This window comes from Homo sapiens, chromosome 16, assembly GCF_000001405.40.
Source record: "Homo sapiens chromosome 16, GRCh38.p14 Primary Assembly".
Classification (NCBI taxonomy): Eukaryota; Metazoa; Chordata; class Mammalia; order Primates; family Hominidae; genus Homo; species Homo sapiens.
The window spans coordinates 75,471,649-75,495,814 of record NC_000016.10 but is presented as its reverse complement, the minus strand read 5'-3'; the positions used below and the strand labels follow the sequence as shown (position 1 = coordinate 75,495,814).

At 50.1% G+C, this 24,166-nt stretch overlaps 1 protein-coding gene across 3 annotated transcripts, besides 5 other annotated features; it reads left to right on the top strand.

The window, feature by feature from the left end:
* Window positions 171-500: a silencer, noted in NCBI's record as "silent region_7721". NCBI's record gives its function as "represses an Ori minimal core promoter by ATAC-STARR-seq in GM12878 lymphoblastoid cells {active_cell/tissue: GM12878}" and the evidence as "EXISTENCE:reporter gene assay evidence [ECO:0000049][PMID:35858748]".
* CHST6 (carbohydrate sulfotransferase 6) lies at window positions 374-23,773 on the top strand. Of its 3 annotated transcripts, NR_163480.1 has the most exons (4): window positions 374-875; window positions 5,046-5,201; window positions 13,924-13,998; window positions 22,348-23,773. NR_163480.1 is itself a non-coding variant. In NM_021615.5 (3 exons), the coding sequence occupies exon 3, from the start codon at window positions 15,987-15,989 to the stop codon at window positions 17,172-17,174; it is 1,188 nt and encodes a 395-aa protein (NP_067628.1). In that variant the 5' UTR covers window positions 374-875; window positions 13,924-13,998; window positions 15,971-15,986; the 3' UTR covers window positions 17,175-23,763. The 3 variants fall into 3 exon arrangements, 1 of the variants encoding a protein (NP_067628.1); NR_163481.1 differs by lacking the exon at window positions 5,046-5,201; NM_021615.5 differs by lacking the exon at window positions 5,046-5,201 and having other exon boundaries at window positions 15,971-23,763.
* Window positions 801-980: an enhancer, noted in NCBI's record as "active region_11134". NCBI's record gives its function as "activates an Ori minimal core promoter by ATAC-STARR-seq in GM12878 lymphoblastoid cells {active_cell/tissue: GM12878}" and the evidence as "EXISTENCE:reporter gene assay evidence [ECO:0000049][PMID:35858748]".
* Window positions 8,770-8,849: an enhancer, noted in NCBI's record as "active region_11133". NCBI's record gives its function as "activates an Ori minimal core promoter by ATAC-STARR-seq in GM12878 lymphoblastoid cells {active_cell/tissue: GM12878}" and the evidence as "EXISTENCE:reporter gene assay evidence [ECO:0000049][PMID:35858748]".
* Window positions 9,530-9,689: an enhancer, noted in NCBI's record as "active region_11132". NCBI's record gives its function as "activates an Ori minimal core promoter by ATAC-STARR-seq in GM12878 lymphoblastoid cells {active_cell/tissue: GM12878}" and the evidence as "EXISTENCE:reporter gene assay evidence [ECO:0000049][PMID:35858748]".
* Window positions 23,524-24,166: an enhancer, noted in NCBI's record as "NANOG-H3K27ac-H3K4me1 hESC enhancer chr16:75505547-75506189 (GRCh37/hg19 assembly coordinates)". NCBI's record gives its function as "activates a minimal SCP1, AML or CMV promoter by ChIP-STARR-seq in primed H9 embryonic stem cells {active_cell/tissue: H9 hESC(primed)}" and the evidence as "EXISTENCE:reporter gene assay evidence [ECO:0000049][PMID:30033119]".

The window sequence follows — 24,166 nt, the reverse complement described above, 5'->3', positions numbered from 1 at the left end:
GTCATCCAGGTGCCGTGGCCTTGGGAAGGGTTTGGATTCCAAGTCACCTCGCCGCAAGGATGCCCCCGAGAGTGAGGAGGGTCAAGATTAAGATTCGACTTCCTTCACTAGGGCCTTTGTCCTCCCAGGAGCCCCCCTTCTCTGGGGATTTGGGGTGGGGTGGGGTACAACGTTCCTCTGTAGTCAGATGAGAGGTGACTCTGCCAGCGCCCTTTGACATTCTGGGCTAAAAGTTGAGCCTCTCAGAGCCCCAGCCCACCTGGGCCCTCCTGCCCCGCCCTCGGCCGGCGCCCCTCCCCCGAGGCGTGGCCCCTCGGTCGGGGGTGGGCCAACCGGCTCCTTCCTTCCCCCACGGCGCTAGCTCCCGCTGGCCACCTCGGGACCGCAGCCACGTCTGAAAGCGCCTCATTGTGTGCGCTCGGGCGGGCTGCACCGGGCAGCGCCGAGGGTTGCCGGCCGGCGCGCGGGGAGTAGAGGGCGCGGGCCGCAGTGCCGGGTTCCAGAGGGAGCTCTGCGCCGGGTCCTTCCCTGTGGTAGCCCCAGGACACCCCCAGCCTCAACATCCCATTCTGGGACTCCTGCCCTGTTCCCACATTCGTTCTACCTCGAGTCTCCAGGAGCTTCCAGTGGCTTGGTCACCGCCAACTCTCGTCCATGCCTCTTAGAGCCCCTTTCCCGGCCTCACCGGGTGTCGCTTAATAGTCTTGGGACCTTAAGGAGCAAGTCAGCCCCTGCGGACCCTCCCAGTGAAGAGAAAGAGCTGGCTGTGCGGTGGAATTTGGAAGAGACGACGTTTGGGAGCCTTTGCTGAGTCCAGGGAGAGAGGCGTCCCCCACCGTGCCGCTGCAGCTCGGGCAGAGCCGCCAAGCTTTGGGGTACGTTGGTTCTTCATTCTCCGCGGGGGATGTCCCCACACTCGGGTCGGCTGGGGGCCGGGCTGGTGGCACAGCTGGGGACGCTCCTCTGTCCTGCACCGGGGACCTGGGGTGGCGGGAAGAGCTGGGAGTGGCTTTTCCATCAGCAACGTGGAAAGGGCATCGCCGCTGTTGGCGCCGGTTTGGAAGTGTCTTGCTGGGGCTTCGGCTGCGCAGGAGAATCCTCACTGCGAGGGGAGAACCCCTTTTGTCTCGATACTTGAGTTTCAAAGGACATGACTTTCAAAAGCTCTCCAAGGGCTTTTTCCATAGAATTATTGAGAGACGGTAGCTTGGCGGGTTGATTTGGAACCAGACCCAGGGGAATTGGAGTCCTGCGTCACTGCTTCTGACGGCTTCATCTTGGGCTTCAGGACAGGCCCTCTGGGCCTCAGGACAGGTGCCTAGCAAATGTTGACTTTCCTTTCTCCTCCCTTTTTCACAGAGGCAAGGCAGTCAAGTTTCCCATTTTTGAGGATGGGAAAACTGAGGCCTGAAGAGCAGAAAGGAGTTGGCTGACTTAAACCCACAAGCGAGTAGGCCAAGTACCAGGGCCTCTGAGGGTGCTATGCTGCTCCGGGAGCTGGGGCTGGGCTCCTCTCCAGCCTGAGAGGCCGGAACTTTTCTGGCTTTGTTCTACAAACAGAGTCAACTGGAGTATAGAGAGCCAGAGAGTGACTTGCTCTAAGTCACACCCCTCACTGGTAGTAGAGACAGGATTTGAACCCAATCCGGCTTCAGAAGCCAAGCTTCTAAGGCCAGTCGCAGTGGTTCACGCCTGTAATCCCAGCACTTTGGGAGGCCGAGGCAGGTGGATCACCTGAGGTCAGGAGTTCAAGACCAGCCTGGCCAACATGGTGAAACCCCATCTCTACTAAAAATACAAAAATAAGCTGGGCATGGTGGTGAGTGCCTGTAATCCCAGCTACTTGGGAGGCTGAGGCAGAAGAATCACTTGAACCCAGGAGGCGGAGGTTGCAGTGAGCTGAGATTGCGGTACTTCACTCCAGTCTGGACAACAGCGAGACTCCATCTCAGAAAAAACACAAGCCAGGCCTCTAGCCATGACTTTCCAGCGTCTTCTGTTTTGTTTGCCCTTGTGGGGACCCTGTCTGTGCCTGCCACATTCTGTTGCTGGGGCACTGGGGCACCTGAATCTGGTAGAGCCATTGTCCTTGGGTTTTCCTCATTCAAAGACTTTCCCTTGGATTCATAGAATATAAGTGTGGCCCAGGAAGGAAGATTGCTAAGCAAATACTCATAAGTGCACTATGCGCCAGACTTTGTTCTGCTTTACAAATATCCACTCACTCACTCTTTCAATCAAGCCCATGAGTTGGGTTATATTGTTTCCCCCACTTTACAGATTTTTTTTTTTTTTTTTGATACGGAGTCTCGCTCTGTCACCGAGGCTGGAGTGCAGTGAAAGTGACATAATCTCGGCTCACTGCAACCTCTCCGCATCCCAGGTTCAAGCGATTCTCCTGCCTCAAATTCCTGAGTAGCTGGGATTACAGGCACCCGCCACCACGCCCGGCTAATTTTTGTATTTTTAGTAAAGATGGGGTTTCACTATGTTGGTCAGGCTGGTCTCAAACTCCTGACCTCGTGATCCGCCCTCCTCAGCCTCGCAAAGTGCTGGGATTACAGGTGTGAGCCACCGCACCTGACCTTCCAGATTTTTTTTTAACCAAGCAGGCACAGAAGGAAGTAACTTGCACAAGATCGCTCAGTAAATGGTCAAGTGGGATTCACACTCTTAACCTCAGTGCTCTATACCTACTGTCTTTAATGAGACAGACACCATTCTGCTTCTAGTGTCTTGGGCGGGGAAATGGGTCCAGAAATACATGAACAAGATTGTTCTGGGTAGTGATAATAGTATTAATAATAATTTCTCACTATCACCTATTAGTCAATATTGAAATATATCTGATTACCTCTAGGGTATCTCCTGGCAGATGTTTTTTTCAAATCAGAATCCACACAAGGTCCACATGTTGCATTTGACTATGTGTTTTTTGGTTTTGGTTTTTGTTTTTGTTTTTGTTTGAGATGGAGTCTCTCTCTGTCGCCCAGACTGGAGTGCAGTGGCGTGATCTCAGCTCACTGCAGCTTCGGACTCCTGGCTCCAGTGATTCTCCTGCCTCAGCCTCCTGGGTAGCTAGGATTACAAGCACGTGCCACCACACCTGGCTACTTTTTGTGTATTTAGTAAAGACAGGGTTTCACCATGTTTGGCCAGGCTGGTCTCCAACTCCTGACCTAAGGTGATCTGCCTGTCTTGGCCTCCCAGAGTGCTGGGATTACAGGCGTGAGCCACCGCGCCCGGCCCTGAGTTATTTTCCTATAAAATAGTCTCTTCCTTTTTCTGTCATAGATTTGGAAGTATGATTTACTTTTAAAAAATAAGGTAATTAAAATAAATGGTTAATAAACCAGGGAACATTCCAGATTATCTCTGTAATGAGAGGGCTCTGTCAATACTTAGGGAAACAGGCAAATGTGCTAAAAGCACAGTCCCACTCCGTACCCTGTGTGTGTTGCTGCACAGAAGAAGTGGGGAACCCTCAGACTTTATGGCCTCCAGCTGTAAGGTACTACAATTTAGACCAAGGCAGGTGCTGTTTGAAGTGCCCTGTGAGAATCCCTAAAGCTCCCAGCCAAGGAAAAGGGTTTGTGTGTTGCTATCTGCTTATCTGCTCTGAAATGCCCCAGGGCAGTGGCTCTGAGCCAGGGAGGCTTGAGGCTCCTTTCCCAGGCTAATTAGAATTCATTTCCCAGTAGATTTTGAAGGCAGATCTGTTTTCTCCATCAGCATCTGGGCCTTGCAGTCCCAGCCCCCTGCCTCTGGGGGATGCCATGCAGCTGCATCACCAGGACTGGCAGAGTTGGCAGATGTGGCCAGGGCTTGGGGGCCAGGCACAGCTTCAGCCACAGCCTGGCCCAGCCCACAGTCCTGGTGTTGAGAGTGTGCATGGGAGCTCTGACACCTTTTAGTGCAGAGCGGGTAATTCATGCCCCTGGACTTCTCTGGCTAACTGGGTACTCAGGTCAGCTGGGAGATGGTTTTGCAGGCACCTGTCTCTCTGCAGTGATAGCTGGACAAAGACAAACTCCACCTAAGCCTCCTTTAACCAACTAGAAATTTCTGATTTTATCATTGTAGTAAAAGTCTGATGTAGACTATCTGGAAAATGCAGCAAAGCACTAATAAGAAAATAAATTACCAGCCGGGCACGGTGGCTCACGCCTGTAATCCCAGCACTTTGGGAGACTGAGGCAGGCGGATCACGAGGTCAGGAGATCGAGACCATCCTGGCTAACACGGTGAAACCCGGTCTCTACTAAAAAATACAAAAAATTAGCCAGGCGTGGCGTCGGGCACCTGTAGTCCCAGCTACTCAGGAGGCTGAGGCAGGAGAATGGCATGAACCTGGGAGGCAGAGTTTGCAGTAAGCCGAGATCGTGCCACTGCACTCCAGCCTAGGCGACAGAGCAAGACTCCGTCTCAAAAAATAAAAATAAAAAAAAATTACCTGTAAACTGGCCATAGAAAAATAAACACCAAACTTCAGTGTGCATCTCCCATACTTTGTATTTTTTTAAATAATGGCTTTATTGAGATAGAATTCATGTATGTTAAAGTTTATATATATTATATATAAGTATATTATATTTTATATATATATATATATATATATATATATTTTTTTTTTTTTTTTTTTTTTTTTTAAGACGGAGTTTCACTCTTGTCACCCAAGCTGGAGTGCAGTGGCTTGATTTCAGCTCACTGCAAACTCTGCCTTCCTGACCTCAGGTGATCCACCCATTTAATCCAAAGTGCTGGGATTACATGCGTGAGCCACTGCGTCCGGCCCAAAGTTTATATTTTAAAAGTGTACAGTTCACTGGCTTATAGTATATTCAGTGTTTTCACATTGAACTTTGTATATATCAGTACTTTATTCTTTTTTATTGCAGATAATTGTCTACTGTGTGGTTACACCACATTTTGTTTATCTATTCATCAGCTGATAGACATTAGGGATGTCTCCACTTTTTGGCTATTACGAATAATGCTGCTGTGCAAATTCATGAGCAGGTTTTCATGTGGGCTTGTATGTTCAGTTCTCTAGGGTGTGTACCCAGGAGTGGATCTGCTGTATCATATGGTCACTCTATTCAACCTTTCGAGAAACCACCAAATTGTTTCTTCAGGAAATGCACCATCTGACATCCCCATTTTATGAGGATCCCCACGTCTCTGTCATCTCACCAACACTTGTAATTATATATTATTTATTATAATTACCTTTTTAAGATTGTAACCTTCTTGGTGGATGGAAAGTGACTTGTCACTGTGGTTTAATTTGCATTTCCCCGCTGCCTAAAAATGTTAAGCATCTTTCCTTTTTTTTTGAGACGGAGTTTCACTCTTGTTGCCCAGGCTGGAGTGCAATGGTGCGATCTCGGCTCACCACAACCTCTGCCTCCCAGGTTCAAGTGATTCTCCTGCCTCAGCCTCCCGAGTAGCTGGGTTTACAGGCATGCGCCACCATGCCTGGCTAATTTTGTATTCTTAGTAGAGACGGAATTTCTCCATGTTGGTCAGGCTGGTCTCGAACTCCCGACCTCAGGTGATCCACCAGCCTTGGCCTCCCAAAGTGCTGGGATTACAGGCGTGAGCCACTGTGCCCGGCCTTTTTTTTTTTTTTTTTTTTTTTGAGGCAAAGTCTCGCTCTTGTTCCCCAGGCTAGAATGCAATGGCACAACCTTGGCTCACTGCAACCTCTGCCTCCCGGGTTCAAGCGATTCTCCCTCCCCGCCGAGTAGCTGGGATTACAGGTGCCTGCCACCACGCCTGGCTAGTTTTTGGTATTTTTAGTAGAGACGGGGTTTCACCATGTTGGCCAGGCTGGTCTCGAACTCCTGACCTCAGGTGATCCACACACCTCGGCCTCCCAAAGTGCTGGGATTACAGGCATGGGCCACTGCGCCTGGTTGAGCATCTTTCCATTTGTGTATCTTCTTCAGAGAAACTTCTCCCAAATCCTTTACTCATTTTAATTTTTTTCTTTATTCATTCTTAAATTTATTTATTCTTATATTTCTTAAATATGCTTATTCTTAAAAAACTAAATAGGATATTTGCCTATTTTGTGTTGAGTTGTAAGAGCTCTTCTTATATTCTGGGTACAAGTCCCATTCTGTAGACATGATTTGCAACTGTTTTCTCCCATCTGTGAGTGTTCTTTGATATTCGTGTATTTTTAACACCCAGCCAACTGTGTGAAAAATACATGCACATCTAAGAACACACACAGATGGGAGAAATGTATATATGTATGTCAGCTTTGTTACTTCTGTTTTCCACTTGACACTATGTAGCGAAGAGCTCCAAGGTTACACTGCTAGACTTCCAACTCTGACTCAGCAGCCACTGTGTGAATTCTTCCCGCAAGTCCCTTTTCTTTTTTCTTTTTTTTTTTTTTTTTTTTTGAGACAGAGTCTTGCTTTGTTGCCCAGGCTGGAGTGCAGTGGCACAATCTCGGCTCACTGCAACCTCCGCCTCCTGGGCTCAAGCGATTCTTCTGCCTCATCTTCACGAGTAGCTGGGATTACAGGCATGCACCACCACGCCTAGCTAATTTTTGTATTTTTAGTACAGTTGGGGTTTCGTCATGTTGTCCAGGCTGGTCTTGAACTCCTGACCTCAGGTAATCCGCCCGCCTCGGCCTCCCAAAGTGCTGTGATTACAGGCATCAGTCACCATGCCCTGCCTCCCTTAATTTTTCTACACCTCACTTTCCTCATCTATAAAATAGGGATGATCATCAGGTCCATGTCATAGGGTTGCTGTGAGGATCAAATCAGAAAATGGATGGGAAAGACTGGGCATGTAGGAAACCCTCATAGATGATGTTTGCAGGGGTTCCTTGTTCCTGCCCCCCATGAACACTCACCTTCCATCTTTATGTTTTATGTTTTGTTTTTGGTTTTGTTTTTCTTTGAGACGAAGTTTCACTCTTGTTGCCCAGGCTGGAGTGCAATGGCGTGATCTAGGCTCACTGCAACCTCCACCTCCCGGGTTCAAGCGATTCTCCTGCCTCAGCCTCCCATTACAGACCTCATGTGATCCACCCACCTTGGCCTCCCAAAGTGCTGGGATTACAGGCATGAGCCACCGCACCTGGCCTGTTTTATGTTTTATGTTCCCTGCTTTATGTTTTGTCTCATTTTCTGTTTTCTTCTCTCTTCTTTCTTCCTCTTTCTTTTGCTCCTTGTTAGCCTTCCCCCTTCCAAATGCCCAGGGCTCCACTAGAGCAGTTTGGCCCCAGTTGTAGCTCTTGATGCCTCAAGGCCACTGACTCCTCATTGGGTATGTTTTTTCCAGCCTTTGGGATTCTTTTTTTTTTTTTTTTCTCCTTGTGACGGGGCTTTGCTCTTGTTGCCCAGGCTGGAATGCAATGGCTCATGATCTCTGCTCACTGCAACCTCCACCTCCCAGACTCAAACAATTCTCCTGCCTCAGCCTCTGGAGTAGCTGGGGTTACAAATAGGCACCTGCCACCATGGTGGCTAATTTTTGTATTTTTAGTAGAGACGAGGTTTCACCATGTTGGCCAGGCTGGTCTCAAACTCCTGACCTCAGGTGATCCACCTGCCTCGGCCTCCCAAAGTGCTGGGATTATAGACATGAGCCACCGTGCCCAGGTGGCTTTGGGATTCTCGAACAGGGATGACCTCCAGCCAACTCTAAACAGAGAAATCTAAACCTGGGATCTATACCTAGTGTTACATTTTGTTCCCTTAGATTCTATGAACAGGGCTGGAACAGGCTGGTAACAAGAAGAGCTGCTGTGTCTTGTTGTTGTTTTGGTTTTGTTTGTTTGTTTGTTTTTTGAGGTGGAGTGTTACTCTGTTGCCAGGCTAGAGTGCAGTGGCATGATCTGAGCTCACTGCAACCTCTGCCTCCTGGGTTCCAGCGATTCTCCTGACTCCGCCTCCCGAGTAGCTGGGATTACAGGTGCCCACCACCACACCTGGCTAATTTTTGTATTTTTTCTCTTTTTTTTTTTTTTTTTTTTTTTAGGGGGGACGGAGTCTCACTCTGTCTGTCACCCAGGCTGGAGTGCAGTGGCACGATCTCAGCTCACTGCAAGCTCTGCCTCCCAGATTCACGCCATTCTCCCACCTCAGCCTCCTGAGTAGCTGGGACTACAGGTGCCCGCCACCACGCCCGGCTAATTTTTTGTATTTTTAGTAGAGACAGGGTTTCACTGTGTTAGCCAAGAAGATGTCGATCTCTTGACCTTGTGATCCACCCTACTCAGCCTCCCAAGTGCTATGATTACAGGCGTGAGCCACCACGCCTGGCCAAATTTTTGTATTTTTAGTAGAGATGGGGTTTCACCGTGTTGGTCAGGCTTGTCCCAAACTCCTGACCTCAGGTGAGCCACCTGCCTCAGCCTCCCAAAATGCTGGTATTACAGGTGTGAGCCACCACTCCCGGCCTGGAGCTGCTGTGTCGAGGGTAGGCAGAGCTTGGCTGGAAGTGAGTGCTGCCCAGAGAGCCAGGACTCCTGGGCTCCAGCTCAACCCTGCTATGGAAAACCATCCTTGGTCAATGTCTTGCTTTTCCTATTTGCAAATCAGGCAGAACCATAGCTCCTTCCTAGGTCTCTCAGGCCAGGCCAAGAAATGGTAAGGGATGTTTAGAAGATCCTGTGACTTTAAGGTGCTCGGCAGAAAGCCATGTGGGCTACTGGGGAATTCCTCCCTCTGGATGTGGACCACAGAGTATCTGAGTGCAATGGCAAGTATTTGTTCATGTCCTCTACTCATTTGTTGTTTGGGACATTCCTTGACATGACTCTTACTATCTTCTTCAGTCAGGATTCTTTACTTTTTATTGAAGTATGCCATTCTTCAGAGTACATATAATGAAAGTACAGCTTGGTGAACTTTCACAAACTGAACACACCCATGTAATTAGCACTGTCAGAGAGAAACAACGCAGGGCCAGCCCCCAGAAGCTCTGCCCCTGCACCCTTCCCACCTCACCCCACCAAGGGTTTCACTGTCACTATCTAATCACCACTCTTGGGTGTAAGTGACAGAAACTCATCTCCCAAGGACTTAAGCAGAAAGTGAATGCTTCCCTCAGCTGAGGGGTCCATGGGTAAGCCTTGCACAACTGGATCCAAATGCTTAGATGGTGCTGTCAGCTTGCCTGTGAACTTTCTCTGCTGAGTTCTCTTCTGTTGTTGATTTTAAACCTAGGCAGTTTCCTCTTCCCTTGTGATCAACAAAACTCCAGAATTGCAGTTGAGCAGATGTCCCATTCCTAGGCCAATAGTTCTGTGTGGGCTGGGGGGGCAGGGTCAGTGTGTGGAATATAGAGGTGGGTCTGTCTTGGGACACATGACCCTTAGGAGCCGGGAGTGGTGGATCAGCCCCATCTGAGCCACATGCACTTTTGAGTGGGTGAGGGTGATTCCCCAGGGAAAAGCCTAGAGACTGTTATCAGAAGGAAAAACGGGTACTGAGTGGACAGAACCAAGCATGTCCAGTGCACCTGTGCAGTGCTGATCCTCACACTAGTCACCGGAGAACAGGTGTTCGCTTGCGAAAAACCACAATCCAAAGTTCCGGGTTGCTCACAGGCAAGAAGGGAAAGCAAAGTACAATGCAGGGCAGAGTGGGGCATGCCTTGACAGGCACAGAGGAGGTGGCTGCAGGCGAGGCTGAAATGCCTCCCAGTGGGAGTCAGGGCTGCGCACTCATAGCATGGGTGAGGGAGTTGGGAGAGATGGAGCTTGTTTGATGAACACTGATTATTCCCGGCCATCTGAAGCCTGGGATATGGGAGATAAGGCTGGAAAGCTGAAGGTTACTGAAAAGGAGAATGACAGGATCAGATGTGTGGTGTAGGCACCTCTGGGGGCAACTGTACAAGATGGACTGAAGGGAGGCCAGGTGGGGACTTTGCTGGAATCCAGGAGATAAGGATGCAGCCAGGACCAGCATGACCCTCCCGCGGCTGGATGTCCAGGCCATCCACTGGGACACCATCAGGTCCCTTGACCGTCACATAGCCAGATGTGTCTTCAGTGTCCCCAACTTGATTGTCAGCTCTGCCAGGATCGGGATCCTGAGCACTGGCTTTCCTGGATGAATCTTTTGCTGATCTTATCTCTTCTCTATTTTCCAACCTTTATCTGTCATTTATGTTTTTTGTTCTACTTTTCACATCTTTTAAATTTTTCTTTCAACGTTTCTAATATCTAATGCAATTAGCCCCAAGGAAAACTAAGGGAAACAAGAAAAAACAAGAAAGGAAATGTACTCTCAGTACTTCAGCTGTGAGCTGTGAGCTTCAGCTGTGAGCTGGAGTGTTTTGCTCTGGTTTTAGGTTTTTGATTTTTTTTAAGAAAGAGGGTCACACTCTGTTGCCCAAGCTGGTGAGCAGTAGAATGATATAACTCACTGCAACCTTGAACTCCTGGGCTCAAGAGATCCTCCCACCTTGGCCTCCCAAAGTGCTAGGATTACAGGCACGAGCCACCGTGCCTGGCCTCCAGGCATATTTTATCCTTTCTCAAGCTATGTGTAGTGTTTTGACAAAAATAAATTTTAAAAAGAGTTAATGTCAAAAAAAGTTTCTGTGACTTAAGAAGGACCACTGCTTAGGGTGCTCCTCCTGGGTACCAAAACAAGAAACAGAACTTTCTATTCCCTTTATGGCCTCTTGTACTTTTTAGTTCCACCCTCCTCCTGAAAAAATATGATCATTTTCATCATCATCATCACCATCATCACCATTAATTACTTGTTGGAAATTTAAAGCAGAATTGCCTCTGAGGTTGGAAGGCTGGAGAGGGCATGAGAGATAGGAAACGTCACTTTCTTCTGCCTGACTGGCCTTGTGCTCTGGTGTGGGGCTGTGTCTGCCCAGGGGGTGTGGCCTCTTTTCCTGTCTTCACATATGAAACATGAGCTGGCAATGCCCTCATCTTTACCTTGAGTTTTTTTGTTTGTTTGTTTTGTTTTTGAGATGGAGTCTCGCTCTGTCGCCCAGGCTGGAGTACAGTGGCGCAATCTCAGCTCACTGCAACCTCCATCTCCCGGGTTCAAATGATTCTCCTGCCTCAGCTTCCCAAGTACCTGGGACTACAGGCACTCACCACCACACCCGGCTAATTTTTGTATTTTTAGTAGGGTTTTGTCATGTTGGTCAGGCTGGTCTCGATCTACTGACCTCTAGTGATCTGCCCGCCTCAGCCTCCCAAAGTGCTGGGATTACAGGCGTGAGCCACCATGCGTGGCTTAGAATTTTATACAACACCTATGTGTTAACTTTTCCAAAAAGTAAACATATAATAAATATGTGCCCCTCATCAAGGGAAGACTTTCAAGGGGGAGATAGGCCTTCCAGGATGGGAAAGGGCACTGGACAAAGGCTCAGGACTGCGACACCCACCACAGAGCCCTGCAGTGAGAGTCTGGTTCTTCGATGTATTTATGTATGTTTGTTTGTTTATTTATTTATTTACTTTTTGAGACGGAGTCTCGCTCTGTCACCCAGGCTGGAGTGCAGTGGTGTGATCTTGGCTCACTGCAACCTCCACCTCCTGGATTCAAGCAATTCTCCTGCCTCAGCCTCCCGAGTAGCTGGGACTACAGGTGCCTGCCATCATGCCTGGCTATTTTTATATTTTTAGTAGAGACGGGGTTTCACCATGTTGGTCAGGCTAGTCTCAAATTCCTGACCTTAGGTGATCCACCCGCCTCAGCCTCCCGAAGTGCTGGGTTTACAGGCGTGAGTCACCGCACACCCGGCCTATTTATTTATTTATTATTTATTTATTTTTGAGACAGGGTCTTTCTCCGTTTTCCAGGCTGGAGTGCAGTCACACAGTCTCTGCTCACTGCAACCTGTGCCTCCTAGGCTCAAGCAATCCTCCCACCTCAGCCTCCTGAGTAGTTGGGACTACAGGTCCGCGCCACTGCACTGGGCTAATTTTTGTATTTTTAGTAGAGATGGGGTTTGGCCATGTTGCCCAGGCTGGTCTTGAGCTTCTGGGCCCAAGCAATTCACCCGCCTCAGCCTCCCAAAGTGCCCTAATTACAGGCATGAGTTACCGTACCCGGCTGGCTCTTGGATTTAAGCCCCTGCCCTTCCTCCTTCTTACTGGATATTCATGTCTCTGAGCCCCACTGCTTCAATTAAAACAGAGAGGTATGGTCATTTCTGCCTCCCAGGGACTTGGGATGATAGCATTTAATCATGAAGACAGAAGTACCTATCACAGGGCCTGCCTGACTTGTTCTTCCTAATGTCAAAACCTTGGCCCAAATGTCTACTGTGCTGAACGTAAGGCTCCTATCAGAATGCTCTCAGCTAGGAACTGGTCTTCTGGAGACTCTGTGGCGTAGGATGATTCAACCACCTTCCTAGTTCTTGAGTTTCAGTAATAGGATCTCATAGCAGTTCCTGTAGTGTGTGAGTCACTTAAGAAGACCTCTGGCTTCCCTGGAACACAGGTAACAAATACCTTGGCTTGGGATCAAGATCCTCCCTACCCAGGGAAGGGCTGAGCTGGCCAGGACAACTGTGTTTGGGCCAGAGCAGCAGGGTCCTGCACTCTGCAGGGAGCAATCACAGGTGGGAGAAGCCCACAGCCTGGGATCAGAAGTGCCAGAAGCTTAGGAACAGGAGTCCTGGGGTCCCAGCTTTCTCGCTGTCTCTCCAAGCCTTGAGTCTTTCACCTGAAAAATTGACATCATCGTGCCCACCTCAGGGCCCGTTGAGTTAAGTCATCGCGTGGACTTGAAGCACCTAGCACTTGTGATCATTGAAGTCAGAAAATGAGTTCCCTTCTCTTTCGGCGCCCCATTGGCAGGAAGCCAACCATCGTCAGCCCACTGGCACTGGAGGAGCGTTGATCATGTGCAGAGCAGATGAGTGGCTACTCTCCCTGTCTTCCAGGTTTTCCCAGAGTGGCTGTGGGATCTGGAGTCGGCTGGTGACAGAGCTGCTGGGCATCCTCCACCCACCCCTGTTGCCTCCTGATGAGGGAAATGGGCAGAGAGGAGATCTGCTCACAAGTTAGACCCTGGCTTCTCTCAGTGGGCGATGTGGACAGGGGAAGGGGGCAGGCAAGGAGCAAAGGATGCAGGAGCAAGGAGAAAACTTCCAGGCTCCTCCCTTCCAAAGTCACCCAGCCTTGAGATCATTGCAGATGCAACAGGTGCAAACAGAAGAACACTTTGGGACCTTGGAATGCGGGAAGCTGGCTCAGTGTTCCTTCCACCCTGTGAGACATGTGTGACATTTTTGTTGTTGTTGCTGTTTTGAGACGGAGTTTCCCCCTTGTTGCCCAGGCTGGAGTGCAGTGGCATGATCTCGGCTCACCACAACCTCTGCTTCCCAGGTTCAAGTGATTTTCCTGCCTCAGCCTCCCTAGTACAGGCATGTGCCACAACGCCTGGCTAATTTTGTATTTTTAGGAGAGATAGGGTTTCTCCATGTTGGTCAGGCTGGTCTCAAACTCCCAACCTCAGGTGATCTGCCTGCCTTGGCCTCCCAAAGTGCTGGGATTACCAGCATGAACCTCCATACCCGACCTATGTGACATTCTTAAGGTCCACGAAAGGGCTGGTGGTTGGAGGCCAGAGGGTGGCCTGTGAGATACTGGGATTGGAAGAGTAGGTGGCCTGTGGGTGTCTCCTCTGGGGGGAGACTCCCCAGGGGGAGGGGTTCCTCCTCTCCAAACAGTAGCTCAGCACAGGGACAGTAACAGTAATGGGGGCATGTGTGTAAGGAATGCTTTCCCAGGCCCCCTCTTCATAGGTGTTTGCAGCAGCATCTCACAGCCCTAAGAGGTTAAATGTTGCACATCCCATCCTACAGAAGTGGAAATCGAGCCTCAGAGAAGTTGTGTCGCTTTTGGGGCTATCTTCCCCTGTAGAGTGTGACTCCATCGCCCTCCTGCTTTACCAGGTGCTGAGGAACCTCTAATCATCTCCCATGGATTTGTGATCAGCGTTGCAGCTCTCCCAGCAGCCCTGGACAGTGGTGAGTCCCCTCAGCTGGCCGGGACAGTCCTCTGCTCTCACCTCTCTGCTTCTCTGGCTCCATCCCAGCTCCGCCTCAGCTGGTCTCCTTGCAAACCCACAGGGCTCCAGGACATCCTCCCTCTGGAGCCCATGCTGCCTTCAGCACTTCACCCCCTACCGGTGATGGCAACAATTGGTGTTCTTTGTCCACTTTATTTATTGGCTCATTTTTTTGTTTTTGAGAAAGAGTCTCACTCTATTGCCCAGGCTGGAGTGCAGTGGCATAATCTCAGCTCACTGCAACCTCTGCCTCCCGGGTTCAAGCGATTTTCACGTCTCAGCCTACCAACTAGCTGAGACTACAGACATGCACCACCATGCCCAGCTAATTTTTGTATTTTTTTTGGTAGAGATGGGGTTTTACCATGTTGGCCAGGTTGGTGTCGAACTCCTGACTTCAGGTGATCTGCCCACCTCAACCTCCCAAATTGCTAGGATTACAGGCATGAGCCACTGTGCCTGGACTTATTTGCTCATTTTGATATTGTACTGTATGTTTTGAGTCAGAGTCTCACTCTATCGCCCAAGCTGGAGTGCAGTGGCATGATCAAAGCTCACTGCAACCTCAAACTCCTGGGCTCAAGCAGTCCTCCCACCTCAGCCTCCCGAATAGCAGGGACCACAGGCGCACTCCACCACACCTGGCTTTCCTTTTTTTGTTTTTTTTAATGTTTTTGTAGAGACAGGCAGGCTATCCATATGTTGCCCAGGCTGGTCTCAAACTTTTCGCCTCAAGGTATCCTCCCACCTCAGCCTCCTAAAGTGCTGGGATTACAGGCTTGAATCCCAGGCTCGCATCCTGCCTATTTGCTTCTTTTCTTTTCTTTTCTTTTTTTTTTTTTTTTTTTGGAATGAAGTTTTGCTCTTGCCCAGGCTGGAGTGCAATGGCGCGATCTCGTCTCACTACAACCTCTGCCTCCCGGGTTCAAGCGATTCTCCTGCCTCAGCCTCCTGAGTAGCTGGGGATTACAGGTGCCCGCTACCACGCCCGGCTAATTTTTGTATACTTAGTAGACATGATGTTTCACCATGTTGACCAAGCTGGTCTTGAACTTCTGACTTCAGGTGATCCACCCACCTCGGCCTCCCAAAGTGCTGGGATTACAGGCGTGAGCCACCACGCCCAGCGCCTATTTGCTTATTTTCAATAAGAAAAGTTATTTTCCATAAGAAAAGTTATACCTGTCTATTTAAAAAAAAAAAAATCATACACTGCAGAAGCACACGCTGTAGCAAGGGCACTCTTCAGTTAGGGACATTACTACATGTCTCTCCTGTCCATCCAGGATATTCAAACATGTTCCCATTTTCCAATAATCCACTTAAATCCTGTATTATGTGCTGGTATCATCTCCCTTTTGCAGATGGGTAAACTGAGTCACGGGGCGATCCAATATTTTGTTCAAGATCACAGGCTATGTATGTCAGTGTAGTGTGGGAGATTAAAAAAGGAAAAAGACCACAGGCTACGGAGTGGAAGAGCCTCAGGGAGCCTGGCCGTGCTGTGACATCCACCAGAGCGCCCATCAGTTCAACAACCTAAAAGAGTTTCCTTACAGGAATTCTTAAGCAAAAGACAGGAATTCCGTTTGAAATATATTTCCCTCTCCAAATAGACAATGGTAATGTGGGTAGGTAGAACTAAGAAGGTAGGACTCACATTAAGAAGGTAGGACTCACATTAAGAAGGTAGGACTCACATGTAGACAGATTTCCGACCGCATTCTGCATTTGTACTTTTGCTCTCAGCTAGACTGGATCCTGAGTTATGTCTTAAGGCCACATTTCCGGGAGAGCTCCCCACTGAGACCATCATGTTCATGGGATGCTCGGGTCTGGTGGTAGAATCTGCCCCCTGCGGGCACTGGGCAGTGGGGTACGGGATGGGCGTGCAGGCTGCAGCCCCTAACCGCTGCGCTCTCCTCCCTAAGGCCCCCAGCAGTCAGCATGTGGCTGCCGCGCGTCTCCAGCACAGCAGTGACCGCGCTCCTCCTGGCGCAGACCTTCCTCCTCCTCTTTCTGGTTTCCCGGCCAGGGCCCTCGTCCCCAGCAGGCGGCGAGGCGCGCGTGCATGTGCTGGTGCTGTCCTCGTGGCGCTCGGGCTCGTCCTTCGTGGGCCAACTCTTCAACCAGCACCCCGACGTCTTCTACCTAATGGAGCCCGCGTGGCACGTGTGGACCACCCTGTCGCAGGGCAGCGCCGCAACGCTGCACATGGCTGTGCGCGACCTGGTGCGCTCCGTCTTCCTGTGCGACATGGACGTGTTTGATGCCTATCTGCCTTGGCGCCGCAACCTGTCCGACCTCTTCCAGTGGGCCGTGAGCCGTGCACTGTGCTCGCCACCCGCCTGCAGTGCCTTTCCCCGAGGCGCCATCAGCAGCGAGGCCGTGTGCAAGCCACTGTGCGCGCGGCAGTCCTTCACCCTGGCCCGGGAGGCCTGCCGCTCCTACAGCCACGTGGTGCTCAAGGAGGTGCGCTTCTTCAACCTGCAGGTGCTCTACCCGCTGCTCAGCGACCCCGCGCTCAACCTACGCATCGTGCACCTGGTGCGCGACCCGCGGGCCGTGCTGCGCTCCCGGGAGCAGACAGCCAAGGCTCTGGCGCGTGACAACGGCATCGTGCTGGGCACCAACGGCACGTGGGTGGAGGCCGACCCCGGCCTGCGCGTGGTGCGCGAGGTGTGCCGTAGCCACGTACGCATCGCCGAGGCCGCCACACTCAAGCCGCCACCCTTTCTGCGCGGCCGCTACCGCCTGGTGCGCTTCGAGGACCTGGCGCGGGAGCCGCTGGCAGAAATCCGTGCGCTCTACGCCTTCACTGGGCTCAGTCTCACGCCACAGCTCGAGGCCTGGATCCATAACATCACCCACGGATCTGGACCTGGTGCGCGCCGCGAAGCCTTCAAGACTTCGTCCAGGAATGCGCTCAACGTCTCCCAGGCCTGGCGCCATGCGCTGCCCTTTGCCAAGATCCGCCGCGTGCAGGAACTGTGCGCTGGTGCGCTGCAGCTGCTGGGCTACCGGCCTGTGTACTCTGAGGACGAGCAGCGCAACCTCGCCCTTGATCTGGTGCTGCCACGAGGCCTGAACGGCTTCACTTGGGCATCATCCACCGCCTCGCACCCCCGAAATTAGTGGAGGCCACAGTTGTAGCAGGCGCTAGGCCCGGGAGGAGAGTGCATGGTGCAGAGGGGGCTGGGGCGCACGGAGAAGCAGGTCCCTATATTGACCAAGGAGTTTGTGGTACGACCCCTCCCCCTCCCCAAGTAGGCAAGGACTGCACGTTTCTTTCTCTCTTGATTCTTGGTTTTCCTTTGAGTCCTCTGGAGCTGCCTTCTCATCAGGTGCACTCTTCATGGAAAGCAACTCTTGCCCCTCCTCCTCTGGGCACAGGGTGTGCGTTCAGATGACTTGGCTCCTACTCAAGGGCTTTCTTCCCCTTTAACTCTCTCCTTCTGGTGACACATCCTGCAGCAGCTGAGGGGGTGCCCTGGCACTGGCTGGGAGTGGAGAGGCACTGTGGTGAAATGGCTCCAGAGGTCTGTACATCACATACATATGCACACAGGCACACATGGCAAAACTCGGAAGTGAAAGGACTTGTCTGAAATCACATGGTGAGAAGGAGGATGAAGGGAGGAGAGAGCTTTTGCTCTGGGTCTCCAGTGGATAGGAGAGGACCTGCCTCCTGGGTGAGAAGGGTCAGATTTTCCTATTTTAATTGCTTTAGGGAAGAGCAAGCAGAGTCATGACCAGGGACACAGCTGAGAGATAGAGGAGGCTGTGAATGCTGAGACCAGAGTTTATCATGCTGGACAAGCCTGGAAGGAGGCAATAAGTGGGAAAGGTAGGAGGAGAGAAGGCTGGGGAGGGCTGGGCAGCAAGCCAGGCACAGTGAGTGGCAGAGCAAGAGGGGGAAAGCAGGATCAGTGCCTGGAAGGCAGGTGTGCCCGTCAGCGGGGAGTGGAACTCATCAGGCTTGCCAAGAGGTTGGAAGGGAAATGGCTCTGGGCTGGAACTGTCTTCCCTTGGTCCTTCTGGTCCAGGCCTTGGAGGAAAGCAGAGGATGATCCCTGCCTGTGAGCCACACCTCCTAGCTCTGGGGGCAAAGGGGCTTAGTAAAGGAATGCTGGATGTGTAGAGGGTTTAGTCCCGAGCTCAGGAAATGAGAGCCTATAAGTGCCCAGTACATGTTTAAAAGAAGAGCTCATGGAACCTCTGGAAAGGACAGGGAAGTTGAGTTAGCCACATAAATGAACCCAAGTCACATTGGAACACAGAGCTGGTCTGGGAACTGTGTTGGCTGCCAACAGAACTTCTGACCCTGTTACCTGTGAAATGAGGCAGTTTCCCTCACGTTGCCATCAGCTACCAGGAGCGATGCTGGTGGTCACTAGCTTCTGATCCTCATCCTGGGTGTGGCCACAGATTGGGGGAACCTGGATTGTGGAGTCACATCCTCCCTGCAAAGCAAGCAGGGCAAGGGAGATCTGGCATTTTCTGCTTTACGTGGAGGGAGAACAGGCACATTAGCCTTGAAGCTGAAGCTCATTTTAGGTTCCTTCCAGGTTTAGAAGCTTCAACCAAATGAAACTTGAATCTGTCCCTCGTGACAATTATAGGAGGAAGGTATTTAAAACCCCAGATTTATGAATGTGTACTACATGGCTTAGAGAATGTCTTTGTTCTTGTTCAGGTGGTTATAACAAAATACCTTAAGAGTGGGTAACTTGGCTGGATGCAGTGGCTCATGCCTGTAATCCCAGCACTGTGGGAGGCCGAGGGGGATGAATCACCTGAGGTCAGGCATTCAAGAACAGCCTGGCCAACATGGCGAAGCCCCTCCTCTACTAAAAATACAAAATTAGCGAGGCATGGTCGCACATACCTGTAATCCCAGCTCCTCGGGAAGCTGAGGCAGGAGAATCGCTTGAACCCAGGAGGCGGAGGTTGCAGTGAGCCAAGATCACGCCATTGCACTCCAGCCTGGGTGACAGAGCAAGACTCCATCTCAAAAAAAAAAAAAAGACTGGGTAACTTATAAACAAATGTTCTTCTCACAAGTCTGGAGACTGGGAAGTCCAAGATCAAGCCACCAGTGCTGTCTGATGAGGGCCCACTTTTTCAAAGACAGTGCCTTCTAGCTGTGTCCTCTTATCGTAGAAGATGGGAGACAGCTCTCCAGGGCCATTTTTTTTTTTTTTTTTTTTTTTTTGAGATGGAGTCTGGCTCTGTCGCCCAGGCTGGAGTGCAGTGGCACAATCTCGGCTCACTGCAACCTCTGCCTCTCTCTGCCTCCTGAGTTCAAGCAATTCTCCTGCCTCAGCCTCCTGAGGAGCTGGGACTACAGGGATGCACCACCATGCCCAGCTAATTTTTGTATTTTTGTAGACACTGGGTTTCACCATATTGGCCAGGTTGGTCTCAAACTCCTGACCTCAAGTGATCTGCCCACCTCAGCCTCCCAAAGTGCTGAGATTACAGGCATGAGCCACTGTACCCAGTCTCCAGGGCCTTTTAAAGAATGTCACTAATCCCATTCTTGAGGTCTCCACCTTCATTATCTAATCACCTCCCAAAGGCTCCACATCCCAACACCATCATATTGTGGGTTAAGATTTCAACCACAAGCCAGGCGTGGTGGCTCATGCCTGTAATCCCAGCATTTTGGAAGGCTGAGGCAGGTGGATCACTTGAGGTCAGGAGTTTGAGACCAGCCTGGCCAACATGGTGAAACCCCATCTCTACTAAAAATAAAAAAAATTAGCCGGGTGTGGTGGTGCACACCTGTAATTCCAGCTACTCAGGAGGCTGAGGCAGGAGAATCCCTTGAATCCAGGAGGCGGACAGTGCAGTGAGCCGAGATAATGCCACTGCACTCCAGCCTGGATGACAGAGCAAGACTCCATCTCATGCCCAGCCAGCATGCCCAACAAGCTTCATTTGCCCCTGTTTAGGTCACAAATTTTATTGATGGCTGCAATTAATGGCCTCTTGGTATCCAAGTCCTTTGTTGTATGACCCATCCATTCTCCCCTGACTCCCAAGGTGTCAGGACATGCTTGACTGGCTCCTGAATTTGCTCTCTGCGCATGGGCAGTACAGTCAAGCCTCACAGTGAACCCAGGTCAGCTTTCAGGACAAAGAAAGTGGCCTGGCTGACTAGGCACAGTAAAGCCAGGGCTGGGTAGGTACATACTTGTGCTGATCACGTATGTCTTATATCTCTGTGAGAGTGCAGTCCCAACAGGAAGGTTTAATCACTGGGGACTGCCCAATGCTGTGACAGGGCACAGAGCTCTGGGTTGCTGTGGGGGTGACTGCATTGACCACTGTTAGTGGTTTGCTGTGTTGACACTCTGTGCTGTGTGACCATGGCTCCTGCCATCAAGAAGTAGAGTCTGTTTCTCCACCTCTGAATCCAGGCTGGTCCTGTGACTTGCTTTGTCCTGTAGACAAGTGTAGTGCAACTTCCTGTGAGCCAGTTTGAAGCATAGGCCTTGGAAGCAAAACTTTACCTCCACCTGTCTTAGGTTTTCAGCTGGGGCTCTGCTGTGATTTGATTGTGTCTCCCAAAGTTGGAACCTTGATCCCCAGTGTTGTGAGGTGAGGCTTGATGGAAAGTAAATTACGCCGTGCGGGTTATGCCCTTGTGAATGGGTAGAGAACATTATTTCTGGGCGCAGGCATGGTAGCTCATGTCTGTAATCCCAGCATTTTGGGAGGTTGAGGTGTGCGGATTACTTGAGGTCAGGAGTTTGAGACCAGCCTGGCCAACAAGGTAAAACACCATTTCTAGTTAAAATACAAAAATTAGCCAGGTGTGGTGGCACATGCCTGTAAGGCCAGCTACTTGGGAGGCTGAGACAGGAGAATCGCTTGAACCCAGGAGGCAGAGATTGCAGTGAGCTGAGATCGCACCACTGTACTCCAGCCTGGGCAACAAAGCGAGAGTCTGTCTTAAAAAAAACCACCATTATTTCAGGAGTGAGTTGGTTATCCTGAGAGTGGTGCCTTTTAAATGAAGGAGTTCATTCTTTGTCTTTCTCTCGCCCTCACTTTGCCCTTCTGCCATATGATGCCTTCCATCATGCTAGGACACAGCAAGAAGGCTCTCGCTAGATGCTGGCTCCTTGATCTTGGGCTTCCCAGCCTCCAGAACTGTAAGCCAATACACTTCTATTTATTATATATGACCCTTGCTGGGTTCAGTGGCTCACGCCTGTAATCCCAATACTTTGCAAGGCTGAGGCAGGAGGATCACTTGAGACCAGGCACTCAAGACCAGCCTGGGCAACATAGTGAGACCCCATCTCTACAAAGTTAAAAAAAAATTAGCAGGGCATGGTGTCGTGCACCTGTAGTCCTAGCTACTTGGGAGGCTGAGTTGGGAGGACTGCTTGACCCTGGGAGGTTGAGGCTACATTGAACCATGATCATGCCAGTGCACTCCAGCCTGAGTGACAGAGCAAGACACCTATCTCTAAATAAATGACCCCATCTGTGGTATTGTTATAGCAAAACAAAACAGATTAAGAGAGACTTTTTAATGAAAAGACAGATTCACAAAGAAAAACAATGTTTTTGTTTCTGTTTTTTTGAGGCAGAGTCTTGCTCTTGTCCCCCAGGCTGGAGTGCAGTGGCGCCATCTTGGCTCACTGCAACCTCCGCCTCCCAGTTTCAAGCGATTCTCCTGCCTCAGCCTCCCGAGTAGCTGGGATTACAGATGTACACCACCACGCCCGGCTAATTTTTTTTGTATTTTTAGTAGAGATGGGGTTTCACCATGTCGATCAGGCTGGGCTGGAACTCCTGACCTCAGGTGATCCACCTGCCTTGGCCTCCCAATGTGCTAGGATTACAGGCATGAGCCACTGTACCTGGCGAAAAACAGTTTGTTAACACAGGCAGCCAACATCACTCAGGATAAGCCTCAATGAAAAGTAACAAAGTGATGGCTTGGAACACTGTCTTACACAGCATTTTTAAAAAATACAATAAATTTGTAGAGATAGGATGACCAAGGACAACAGTTTTAGGCTTCCAAAGGTGGTAAACTATGGGATGGTAAATATCCGAGAGGAAGCTGATGCAACAGGATTTGTCTGCAGCAGCCTCTGGTACCACCTCTGAGTCAAGGGTTGTGTCCAGTGATGGAGAGTTTATATCGTGCCTTTAGGCAGAAAAGGGGAGGGAAACCTGAACTTTTCCTGCACTTTCTGCTTCTTAATTGCCTTCAGCTGAAAATCATTTTTTATGTGAAAAAGGCATAGTCTGAGCTGACGCCTCTGCTTTCCTCCACCTGAAGAGAACCTGCGTGCTGCTCCTTTGCTTCGGACCTCCGCCTCTGCCCGGGAGAAAGCCCAGGCCAGCCTGCTGGACAAGCAGAGACCATGAGAAGGAGAGTTCAGGGGTCCCAAACCAGGCCATCCTAGACCAGCCAGCTCCAGCTGATCCGCACGCAGCCACTTCGGCTACCTTCTACTGGCCAAAGGGAGTCCCAGGGCTCACCCAGATTCAGAGGTGGGGAAACTGAGTCCACCACTTGAGAAGAGTAGCTATAAAGACATATGAGCGAGGCCAGCTGAGCCCAGCACTGCGGCCAAGTCGAAGACTTTAGGAGCAATAAAAGTGCTTATTGTGTTTCAGTCATTTGAGTGTTGTGGTGGTTTGTTACGTAGCATTGCCTAACCGATACACTTGAGAACGGAGGGCTCCTGGCACCTGCAGCTTCCAATTTCCACCAGGGTCCAGGCTCCCTCCCTGCTGGTAGGGCTGTAATTAGTGTCTCCCCTTACCTGTAGGCCCTGTGATGCAGCTAGAAGTGTCTAGGCCCAGCAGTCACCCACAATTAGGGGCAGGCACGCTTGCTGCCTCTGCTCTGGCTGTGGGAGCTCAGAAGGGGCAATCAAAGCACTAGATGGGCTGATGGGTGCATAGAAACAGTGTTGCCTGGAATAGGTCAGAGAACCCACCTATCAAGAGGCTGTTGGGGAATCAATGGTGGGCCTTATTTTTGTTATTTTGCATCAAGAAGATATATTATCCACATCAACACTGTATCAACTCCTCATGGCCACCACAGACCCTGTGTCCCCTAGCTTTGTCTTTGATGTGCCTTTGTCACCCACTCCTACAGACTGCGCCCCACCACTGCCACAACTGCCCCATCACCTCTACAGGGTTAAATCAATGGTTTTAATTTTTGCCTACCTGATGGGTGAAAAATGTTACTTGATGTTTCAGTCTGCACTTCTTTAATTCCTGGGGCAGCTGAACATCTTTTCATGCTTATGACTCAACTGTATTCCTTTTTCATTGTTCAAGGCTGTGCCCATGTTGCTGTTGACTTACCACAGCCTCTTTTGAATATGCTTTGTTATTTTTGTTGTGCAAATGGTTTCTCCTAGCTTGTCATCTGTTTTTTGTTGTTGTTGTTTTGTTAACTTACTTTATGGCATTTTCCCCTCAGGCTTCTTAAAAAAAAAGAAGCTTCATTGAGCTATAATTGATATACAACATCTGCACATAAAGTGTAAAGTTTGATTAAACATTTGTATATACCTGTGAAATCAAATCACCACCTCATCACAATCAAATTTCAAAAAGTTTCACCTAGTTTATCATATTGTTGAATGTGAATCCTTTCCTTATGGCCAGTGGATTTTATGTCTTGTTGAAACGACTTTGTCCTGCTACAGTGATAAAAATGGTCTTCACGCTTGCTTCCAGTACTTTAGTAGTCTAGTGTTTTACGCTTGGATCTAAATTGCATGCAATATTCCTGATCGGTGCGAGTCATCAGTTCTCCCAGCGCCCTCTACTGAATGATCTCACTCATCACACACTGAAACCACCATGGGCTGGAATCTGTCCCTCACCCACAGGCCCACTCCACACCAGTGGATCAGGCGAGCAATTTCTTTAGGTCGAGTGACCCCTATGCTGAGGTCCAGTGGGTTATCCCGACTACCTTCACAAGTTAATGGATTTAGATTTAAGCACCACCTGCCCCCAGCAGATTCTCTTACAATTTAAATATCCTCTCACAGTGCAAATCCTTATTCTGTGAATGACTCTATTCAGACCATGTTCCTTAAGAACCAGAGCTAGGCTGGGTGCAGCTG